The sequence below is a fragment of the Homo sapiens genome, chromosome 22 (assembly GCF_000001405.40).
Source record: "Homo sapiens chromosome 22, GRCh38.p14 Primary Assembly".
Taxonomy (NCBI): Eukaryota; Metazoa; Chordata; class Mammalia; order Primates; family Hominidae; genus Homo; species Homo sapiens.
The window spans coordinates 48366897-48378083 of NC_000022.11; the positions used below are offsets into that span (position 1 = coordinate 48366897).

The following is an 11187-nucleotide window of genomic DNA, read 5'->3' on the forward strand; positions in this document are numbered from 1 at the left end:
TCTCCCCATTTTAGATCCAGATTTCCTTTCTCCCAGGACCCCGCTGACCCCAGCATCTGTGGGCCCAGCAGCAGCCTTCCTTGGGTGCCTGAGTCCAACCCTGCTGCTAGGACAGGGCACTGGGCAGCTCAGGAACAACAGACATGGACTTCTCAGGGTTCTGAAGGCTGGAAGCTCAAGATCCAGGCCTCAGCAGATTCGGCACCCAGGGAAGGGCTTCCTGGTTCACAGCTGGTACCTTCTCACTGTCCTCACATGGAGGAAGGAGGAGGGTCTCTCTGAGGTCTATTTTTTTTTTTTTTTTGATTTGGAGTCTCAATCTGTCACCCAGGCTGGAGTGCAGTGACACGATCTCACCTCACTGCAACCTCTGCCTCCTGGGTTCAAGTGATTCTCCTGCCTCAGCCCCTTGAGTAGCTGGGACTACAGACATGTGCCACCACACCCAGGTAATTTTTTGTATTTTTAGTGGAGATGGGGTTTTGCCATGTTGGCCGGGCTGGTCTCAAACTCCTGACCTCAAGTGATCCACCCTCCTTGGCCTCCCAAAGTGCTGGGATTACAGGTGTGAGCCACCTTGTCCAGCCTCTGGGGTCTATTTTATTAGGGCACTAATCCCATTCATGAGGGCCCTGTTCTTATGACCTAATCATCTCCCAAAGGCCCCACCTCCAAATACCATCCAGCCCACTGGGGCTTGAGTTTTCCATCTCCCCAGCTCCCCCTGTCTTCCACCTAAAATCCCTAATTCTATTAAACACCTTGGACTTTTGTGGGGCCCTTCCCAAATCCAGCATCGCCCTCCCGTCCTAAGAGCACACAGGTTCCCCTTGGGGAGCACCTTCTCCACTGTGAAGCCACCATGTGCCACCAAGGGGCCAGCCCCAGCCCCGTATCCCCGAGGAGTTCTGATCAATTTGGCCAAAGGCGCTAATCCCATCACAGGGGCCACGGAGTGTCATTCCATCCTCAGGAGCACGAGTGCTCAGGCCTGGGGTAGGAGTGGGAGAGTGCCTTCCCCTGGAAGATGCTGTGCAGAGGTCCCTTGGGCCAGGCTCCAGCTGTAGGGGAGCCAGGTGGGGGTCAGAGCTGACCTTCAAGGGAGAGCAGAGCCCAGCTAGAGAGCTGAGCACACCAGGAAGGACACGGCCGCCTCCGGCCTTTTCAGCGGCACGGGCCATGCCGCTTCTATTGGTCAGCTCTGTCTGGGGCTTGTTTTGTCCCTCGCCACAGCGAGCATTCTAATGAAGTTAGATCAAGGCCAGAAAAAACGAAATATTCAAAAAAGCAATGAGAAACATACACTAATAAGAAACATATGGTTCTTAACTGAAAGAAAGAATAAATCTTCATTGAAAGGAATAAAAGATAATTTGAATAAATGGAGCACAGTACTTTTTGCTGAATAAAAAGAAAATATTGAATATTGTTTTTGCTAAATTAATTTGCTATTTAATTTAATTCCAATCAAGATTTTCATGAAGATTGTTCTTAAAATGTGGTAAAAATCATCCCTAAGTTTATCTGGGGGTAGAAAAGCATATAATAATATTTTAATATGTAAGTGAAGGATAATAAGGGGAATCTGTCCTACCAGATACCAAACCGTATCCCAAAACTATAGAAATAAAGCTACTAATGCCAGGACAGGAAAACATTCCTGGAACAGGACCGATATCCCTAAGAGGTCCTTTGCTCAGCAAGGGATTGAAATTATAAAACGGCCAGGCGCAGTGGCTCACGCCTGTAATTCCAGCACTTTGGGAGGCCAAGGAGGGCAGACAATCTAGGTCAGGAGTTCAAGACCATCCTGGCCAACATGGTGAAACCCCGTCTCTACTAAAAATACAAAAATTAGCTGGGTGTGGTGGTGGGTACCTGTAATCCCAGCTACTCAGGAGGCTGAGGCGGGAGAATCACTTGAACCGGGGAGATGAAGGTTGCAGTGAGCCAAGATCGAGCCACTGCACTCCAGCCTGAGCGACAAGAGCAAAACTCCATCTCAAAAAAAAAAAAAAAAGAAAGAAAAGAAAAGAAAAAAAAAGAAAAAGGGATGAAAGACAACAAGGGAGGGGTGGATTATTCCACAAAAGGGATTGGGAACATGGGCCTTCACAGTAAGATTCAGTTAGATCCTGACTCACACCACATGCAAAGGTACCTTCCAAATCCATTAAAGAGTTCAAGGCCTAACACTCATCAACAATGCACCACACACAGGTGAGCATTTAGCCAGGCCTAAGACGAGGAAGTCAGCAATGGCAGGAGTCAGGCGGGGAGCACCTCCCTCCCGCACAGGACTAGAGTCAGGACAGAGGGTCCCTGAGCACTGGGACATGTCCGTCCTGGCATGTGGCGTCAGTTAGGGTCTTTCTCTTTAAATGTTTTTTTTTGTTGTTTTTTTTTGTTTGTTTGTTTTTAATAAAAGGCCATTTCCTCTGCCATTTCCGACGTACCCTGCGTAGTTGGTGCATGACACCCTCAGCCAGCTGGACTTGCCCCACCCCAGATGTGTTGGGAGCTTCTCAGACAACGCTGCCTGCGGCTGTCCTTGGCTCCATGTGGGACGTCTTGTAGGATCTACAGAATCTGGGAACATGGGCTTGGGATACAACTGGGGAGACTGGTGGAGGTCTCTTCCTCTATCATCCCTTCTCCTGGAGTCATGTGATGTTAGATTTTGGAAAGGGGCAGATTTGAGTTTCACTTTAGACTTTCAACATTACAAAAGGGGAAAAAAATGCTCCCAACCCCCAAAAAAAAGGAGAGAGAGAAAGAAAATGTCAAATCTGCAAATGTGCCGCATTCTAAATTATCCAAGCACTTGCTCTAATTAGTATTCCAAGCTAGACAAGAGCAGAAAGTCAAAATCTCCATTTAAATGAAAATCTCCCCAGCCCCTGGCTGGGGCTTCCGTCTGCACCAGGGGGTTCCTGGTGCCTCCAGGGACTTAGAATTCAAGGCCCCAGGTGAGCCTCGCGGCCGGTCTCCCTCTGCCTCTTGGGAAGGTGGAGGGTGGAAGCCTCAGGGTGGGCTTGCTTTCTTTGCTAGCTTAGGTGCTCGGGTGGGAAGGGCACCAGGTTGTTCAGGCCACGTGGCTGAGATCATGCCTGCACGTTGGTAACTGTGGAATTGATTTTGAATGCAGAGAGTTTGGCATTCATTGAGGATTAGCCAATTGATTGCCATTCGTGTGCAGAAAAGGTTATCTCTTTCTAGGGACTCTGGGGCCCTGTGTGTTTACTCTCCCTCTCCATAGGAACGCTGACTATGGACAGTCCCTGAGACACACCCATCCTCCCCAGAGCTGTTGCCCTGGAGCCTCTGCAAACTTTGCTGATCGTTTACATTGTACTTAAGGCCATGGTGGGTGGTGCTGGAGTTTGGTCTACAGCGGCTCACAGACTGCCCAGGCTCATAGATGCCAATGCAGAAGTGCGTCAAAAGCAGCCCGAAGGAATAATTGGTTTGGTAAACATTTGAGCCACACTATCTGGCCCCGGGAGGCTCGAGCTCCAGCCCCACCCACGGAGCCTCCACCTCCGCACAGCCTGGAATCCCTCCAGGACCCACTCAAGGCCTCCTCCTGGAAGAGCCTCCAAATCCAGAGGACGTTCCCTCCTTGCAGGGAACTTGGCAGGGAGGTCCCTGTGGGGCACCTGCTGAGCGAAGTTCACCTCGTTTCTGTTGTCATCTTCCTCCCCCTCCGTGAGTGACAGATGAATGACAAGAGTAGCAATGACAATAGCTGCCCCCACTGCAGGCTTCCTATACGGAGGCCCTGCCTGTGTGATCTCCAGTCTTTCCAGCTTCTCAGCAAGTGGGCTTCAGGACCCCCATTTTCCAAAAGGAAAAGCAAAACAGCCCTGGCCTTCAGAGCAGCTGAATGAGGAACTTGTCCAGGGTCATGCAGCTCAGCCCAGAAGGTGTCAGAGATCAGATTACAAAACCCTGGAATTTCTGCTACATCCCAGAACTTCCAAAGCCAGTCTTAGATTTCCTGGAACAGGGAAAACTGTAATAAATATCTGCAATGTAGCCTTTTGCGTGCATGTCGGTCTTGCCCAGGGTGAGTTGCGGTTCACTGAGTGATGGTCCCACGTCGGGGTACCATGACCTGTACTGAGCATCTGCCAGTCACTTCATCCTCAGGCAGGGATGAGAAAGAAAACTCCTGCCTTAGGAATGCAGAAACTGACTTGCAGCAAGATTCAGTATCTTCCCCAGATGTCACACCCAGTCCTTCCAGAGCCAGCCTCCAGTCTGCCCAAGCCTCTACCTGGGCTCCCAGGGGCTGGGTGTCCACACTAGAACAACACAAGCTACACGGGGTGTCGGGTCTTAGAGCCTGAGCAAGAGCCTGGGGTTCCATCTCCTCCATGGAACGTCCCCCCTTTTAGCTACACTGAGCAATATCAGATATGGGAAGATATTGGATATTGGGTATACTTTTTTCTTTTCTTTTGTTAATTGGCAAGGCTCACACATTTTTCTACTATCCAACTTACCTTTCCTGTATCTCTCCCCAGACTCAGTCTCATTTTACCTGCACAGACGCTTCTTCTTTTGCCCAGGCCCCATCTCACATGTCGTAACCTCTCACTCACTCATTCATCTGCTCATTCATTCCTTCAGCCAGCATGTGTGGGCCACCGCCGAGCACCAGGCTGTTAGCTCCTGATGAAGGGCACTGAGATCAGACTGAACATCAAACTGCAGGGCAGCTGCGGCCCAGGCTTGAAGGCGTCCCTGCCTGGGCATGCACAATGCACTTGGGATCTAAACTCAGCTTTCTTTGGAAAAGCTGGGAGCAAAGACAGCAAGTTCACAAAATTCTGACTGGCTGCCGCCTCTTTTTCCATCAGCCACTGTTATTTCCCCTGCAGGACCCTGGTCCTCAAGCCCACCTGGCCACACAGGGACCCCACTCCTCTTTCTGGAGAGTCTGAGGGTGGACCCAGATCAAGGCTTTTCTATGCGTTGTTGGAGGATCCTTAGGTATCATCCTAAATGCTTCCTGACCACTACGCCCACATCCGGGAACAAATCACTGCTAATCATTTGTTTCCACAAGAGAAGAGAGTCCATCTTTAAGTTTTTTTCCAAGGCTGGAAGCAGGGCTATTTGTGATATAAATAGGAAGTTCTGGGCCTGCAGCAGGGCTGAGTTTGAACTGCTCTGATAGGAAACAAAAATCCATTTGGTTAAATATGTTTTCCAGGTCCCCGGCGCCTCCGCCTGAAGAAACGGATTAAGAGACAAGACGCTCTTTAGCTCATCTAGAAATTCTCCAAAATATGGCCATTTACTAACAAATGTAGGATTTGGGGTTCTACAGGGCCTACAAGGGAGGGTCTCACCTAAGATGCCAGCGTTATGTTTCACTGATGCAACCCTTGGCTCATTATATTTGGAGGGCTTTCGATGCAGGAGAGGCCTCCCACCTGGCCCCTCTGTTTTGCACCCATCCAGGCTGCCGTTGGCCATCCTGAAGTCCCAGAACAGCGGGATCAGCCTCCCGGGTCCCAGAAGCCAAGTGGTGTTGGTGAAGAGCAGCTCTCCAAAGCACACACTCGAAAGAGGAGCTGGTAAAAGACTGGGGGTCCCTTGTGAAGGCCTCCGCATTCCAGCGTTTAGCATAAAGTCAGTGGCAGCAGCACAGCACTCTGCCTTGAGGATGTAGTGGGGCAGCTTGGCTCTCTTGCCACTTAACTGGAAAGGCCTCCGCCCACTGTGGCTTTGGCCCTCTATGTACCTATTAGATCCTACAGGAAGACTTCCACTGGCCTTCCAGCCTTGGAGGGCACTGACTGCATGGAATACCAAATGGAGACAAATCTGGAAGGAAGGAAAATAAGGCCGGAATCCAACAGACTCAGAGAAGAAGGGGCCCAAGCCCCCGGGAAGTACCACAGATCCAGGACGCTCCATAGACCCGGTGTTCACCGCTCCTGGCCTGCGTGTCCCATGGGCTCTGTGGTGTGACGGGAGAGGCACAGCCCACCCTTGGAGATGGAAACATTTCTCCTACTGACAAGGAGTCTGAGAACCAGGCCGCATCTGTAATTGGAAGGAAAGGGACCTCGCCACGAACTGCTTCCCCCAGGAAGAACAGAAGTGTCAGATTCTGGATATGCATACTGTTTTTTATTTCTACACATTAATTTCAATTGTTTTGAAATAATACACTTTAGTGCCAAATGCTTTAAAAGTACTTATCAGAATTGATGTAACTATGAAGTTGTCATTGTATGTGTCAGTCCCACTGAACAAAAGCATCTCTCTATTTAAACATGGCTGGCATCCAGAAAGCAAGGTGTAAGAGGAGCTCTCACTCCTCAAAGGCAGTGCTCCCTACTGAGGTGCTCTTGAGGGGCTTCCAAGGTGAGAGGAAGGGGCGTCCAGGCCTGGATGTCCCAAGCAGGGGAAGACAGCAAGAAGGAGGGCAGACTTTGGGAGCAGAAAACGGGATTCTTCTGATGCAGTCCTGTCTGCTCTAGAGCAGCTCAACTTCTGGAAGAATCCAATGCCAAGGCCAAGGGGAGCTTTGGGTTCAGAGAGGGGCCAAGCAGCCTCTGAGGGCCCACAGACTCAGGACACCACAAGCCACATTGCAGTACATTTTATTTATTTATTTACTTATTTATTTATGAGCTGAGGGATGTTGTCTTGGGTGTAACTCTTGAGGCCAGGACACCAGGGCATGCACCTGCTCACCAAATGCTCTCTCTCGGACAGCTCCTTCTGGGAACCCAGCCACGGGGCTGGGAAGAGCCCAGGCCACAGGAAGGGGACCTGGAAGTGCTCTGGTCCGCAGTCACAACTGGCTCTGGACTTCTTGGCCCCCAGCACCCCCTCCACCCATCACATCCTACCAGCAGAGGTCCCAACATCAGGAAGCGGAGGCCATGATGTAAAGTGCAGACCTGCAAAATCCAGACACTAATAATAGACAGTGGTGCTTGTTTCATCCCAGTATATTTGCATTGGCTTGTGACATCGAGGTAGGTAACAGGCACGCCACCCGTGGATCCGCCAGGTCTCCTCTCCTGCCTCCCCTCTTCTCTGCCTTGTTCCTGGGGCTCTGGTGGGAGTCAGGAGTGGGTCACGCACATGATGCTGAGGAGGCTGCCTCCACGCTTCCCAGCATCCCCTGCTGGGCCCCCCGGGTGGGCATTTGTGATCCCCCACCTGATCTCCTTCTTCCAGGCTTCCTCCTTCCAATCCCCTTCCCCACTTCAATGATCAAAGTGATATCACTGCTATCATCGTCACTTTTCTAACACTTCACAATGTAAGAAGTACTTTCAAATGTAATAATTCATTAAATAAAGCAAACTTTAGGAGAGAGAATCTTGTTCAATTTTTATAGAAACACCATGGCTCAAAAAGGCAACATGACTTGATGAAAGTCACTTAGTATTCAAAAAATAGATAACAAATCTGGCCCCTAGCTCTGGGCTATTTTCTCCACACCATTGCCCAGTGCTCACTGCATTCATTCCAGATCTTTACCATGGCATTCAGGCACCCACAGAGTCTGTCCCAAATAAACTTGCATCTCTGTTTCTCTCATAGATCAAGTTCCTTCTGGGAATCAGCAAGGCCACAAACAGAAAGAGAACATGAGAACCAGGTCTGTGTTTTGCCTCTGGGAAAAGCATACCATGTGTTCATCTTGTTTCCTCTTTTGTTTGGTGACCAGGGAGGCCAGCACAGCCCCAGAGGCAGCTCCATCTTTTTTTTTTTTTTTTTGAGACAGAGTCTTGCTCTGTCACCCAGGCTGGAGTGCAGTGGCGCCATCTCGACTCACTGCAAGCTCCACCTCCCAGGTTCACGCCATTCTCCTGCCTCAGCCTCCTGAGTAGCTGGAACTACAGGCACCCACTACCATGCCCGGCTAATTTTTTTTTTTTTAATTTTTAGTAGAGACAGGGTTTCACTGTGTTAGCTAGGATGGTCTTGATCTCCTGACTTCGTGATCCGCCCGCCTAAGCCTCCCAAAGTGCTGGGATTACAGGCGTGAGCCACCGCGCCTGGCCAAATGCAGCTCCATCTTAGTAACCATGCAGGACTCCAGGCTTTGCTGCCTGAACTTCACTTTCCCTGTGCTTTGATTTTTTGTTCTTTCAATATTATATTTCCCTATCCCAGCATTGTATTCATATGGCACATACCTTATGGATTTTTGCTTATTTTCTCTACTGATAAATTCCCAGAGCCTAGGACTACGCCAGATGCAGAGTAGATAGCTACTGAAAGAATGCATGAATGAACAGGTGAATTGTTCCTCTTGGTATCGTAAGCACCTATAAAAGCCACATCAAAATAGCTAATTTATTAAATACATTGCTACATAGTGGAATTTAGCCATTTCAAAGTGGGAAAACCTGACTCTGAAATGAAGCTATTTTGGCTTCCACTTGGCCAGAACCAGGACTGTAGTTGCATCCCAGCCCAGTGGGACCTCCTTCCTGGCCTTTTGCTCCAAACCTGGCAGCAGCAGGTCTCATGCTTAGAGCGGCCACTGGTCCCTCCCTCCAGCGCTAGCCTTGGTTTTAGCTCCTGGAAAGGGCTAGAGGGGGTGGGGAGAGTGAAATAAGACAGAACTGCCTTGAGGCCCTGTCCAAATAAATTTTAAAATCTGAAGTTCTGATATACCTGAAAAGGGAAAACAACATGATTGTCTGCAAAAGTTAGGATGGTCTACTTTAAAACACAGGATATCATTACTAGGAGTAATAATATAATTCAGAACAACATCACTATCCCAAATAAGTAACTGTCTTATACACCAAAAAGGACTAGCCGCACAAATCTCCATGCATAACAGCAACAAAAGAAATAAAATATGCAGTCAGCAACTAACAAGATATATTCAGGACAGATACCAAAGAAGAGAAATGAAGAAAGATTTGAATAAATGGAAAGAAATATCATGTTCCCAGAGGGGAGAGCTCAGCTTTTTAAAGATGTCAAACCTCACGAAGTGAATTGATAAAAAATTAGAATTCCAATGAAAATCTCAGTAGAACTTTACAAAATGGATGTTTGATTTGAAATTTTTTTCTTAAAAAATAAAATGATAGATAACCAAGAAACGTTGTCTTATCAAATAGTTTTACATTAATAAAATAGTATGCTACTTAGAGAGAGAGAGAGATTGAAAGAGATCGATGGAATCATAGAATAGTCTAGAAATAGGCCCAAGAATCATCTGGAAGAATTTGTCGTATGATAAAAATGGTATTTTGTTATCTGTTGGTAACAAATGAATTATCCTCTAAACTGTATTGAGACCACTAAAGAAGTATTTATAAAATGATGTTAGTTACCTATCTCTACAGCAAAATGAATTCCAGACAGATTTAAAATGTACAGTTTGTACAAAACATAAAATATTGGAAGCTCAAAAAGATATCATTTTAAATAACCTCAGGATGGAAAAACAGTTTACTAGGCAAAGACCAAAAGGCAGAAGTCACAAGGAGAAAATATGGATGAATTTGACAATTTATGTTTTATTAAGATATGTTCCTAAAACTCAGAAGAAAAAAGGATAAAGTCCCTCCACTTGGAGAAAAATGGTTTAAAAATGCCAATAAGCAAATATCAAAAGAAAAATATAAGCACGCAAAAATGTTCATCCTCATTAGCACTCAAAGAAATGCAAATTACAAAGCCGTGTGAGCCTCTTGTCAGCAAAGGGGAGGAGGGAACCTCTCACGGGATTCCTGGGCTGCAGCGCGGCTGGACCAGAGGCTGTGATGTTCTGGCTCCAGGAGGGACTCACGGGTGTTTGTGGGAGCTAAGAACATAAAGTACATTGATTTCTTCATTATGGCGAGAAGATATTTAAGAATGTTAGCACAGATCTTTGAATAAATTTTGTTCCTAAGAGAAGTTACTATTTATTCCTAATTAAACCGGGGGGGGGGATGTCTTTGAAGAGGAACCTCTGCTTTATTTTTTACAGGGGCATCCTTGCATTATGATGCTGTCTAATTGTATGTTATAGAATTATACGTATCAAATATTAAGGGAAAATTAAATATAATGTTTACTGGCAGGAAAGGCAATCATGAAAGTTCCTACAGCTTGACGCACAGATAAGGACTGTGCCAGCATTGCCAGCCTGAGTGGCCCCTGTCTCCTCTGGGGAGGGCAGGTGCACCATGTGGCCACAGACAAGCCACCCAGGACATGGGGTGACAGTGCTCTCAGGTTTTGCTGATGGCCATCCCTGGACACATTGGTAATGCTGAACTTCCCCATGTGGGAGTCAGGCTGAGGGCAGCCACCCCCAGTCAGTGACGCCTTAGCAAGCACACGGCACCACCAAGGACGTGTTTTGTCAAAAGAAAATGGGAACTTGGATCTGATGAGTGTTTTGGAGCCATCTTCCAGCTCACAGAAAATATTCAGGATAGAGGAACACATTAAATGACACTCGAAAATAGCTAATAGACAAGTGCAGCCTGTGGAAAACCCTACAGGACAAATGTCCAGGTTTCTGCAACAACACAGTGTCTAAAACAAAGGGGATGCCCTGGTGTTGGATTGAGTGGGGCATGTTGGACCTCAGTGAGGACAGTTGGGGAGGCCATGGGGGGTCCTCCCGGGACCAACTGCCTTAGTATGCCTATTGCACTCAGTTATCAGCTGACGCAGACTGTGGGGAACCTGTCTTTGGTGTGAATGCAGGGATGAACTTCAGAGCAGGAACATGGCCCTTGACCATGCAGCCCCCAGCAGCCGGGGACCTGAAGGACACTGGCTCTCAGGCTCCACAGAATGTGGCTGACAGTCCTTGAATCTGGTGATGGGAAATACAGGTCAAGTATCCCTTTTCTGAAGTGCTTGGGACCAGAAGGGTTTCAGAGTTCTATTTTTCCGTTCTTTTTTTTTTTGGATTTTGGAATATTTGCATATACATAATGAGATATCTTTGGGATGGGATCCAGGTCTAAACACAAAACTCATTTATGTTTCATATACACCTTACTCACATAGCCTGAAGGTAATTTCATGTAATATTTTTAACAATTTTGTGCATTAAACCAAGTTTTGACAGCCTTTGACTGCGACCCATCACATGAGGTGAAATTCTTCTTGTGGCATCATGCTGGCACTCAAAGCGTTTTGAATTCTGGAGCATTCTGGAGTTTGGATGTTCAGACGACAGAA

The 11187-nt window shown here is 47.6% G+C and overlaps 3 annotated features.

The window, feature by feature from the left end:
* Window positions 2907-3502: an enhancer, noted in NCBI's record as "OCT4-NANOG-H3K27ac-H3K4me1 hESC enhancer chr22:48765615-48766210 (GRCh37/hg19 assembly coordinates)". NCBI's record gives its function as "activates a minimal SCP1, AML or CMV promoter by ChIP-STARR-seq in naive H9 embryonic stem cells {active_cell/tissue: H9 hESC(naive)}" and the evidence as "EXISTENCE:reporter gene assay evidence [ECO:0000049][PMID:30033119]".
* Window positions 9712-10218: an enhancer, noted in NCBI's record as "H3K4me1 hESC enhancer chr22:48772420-48772926 (GRCh37/hg19 assembly coordinates)". NCBI's record gives its function as "activates a minimal SCP1, AML or CMV promoter by ChIP-STARR-seq in naive H9 embryonic stem cells {active_cell/tissue: H9 hESC(naive)}" and the evidence as "EXISTENCE:reporter gene assay evidence [ECO:0000049][PMID:30033119]".
* Window positions 10219-10723: an enhancer, noted in NCBI's record as "H3K4me1 hESC enhancer chr22:48772927-48773431 (GRCh37/hg19 assembly coordinates)". NCBI's record gives its function as "activates a minimal SCP1, AML or CMV promoter by ChIP-STARR-seq in naive H9 embryonic stem cells {active_cell/tissue: H9 hESC(naive)}" and the evidence as "EXISTENCE:reporter gene assay evidence [ECO:0000049][PMID:30033119]".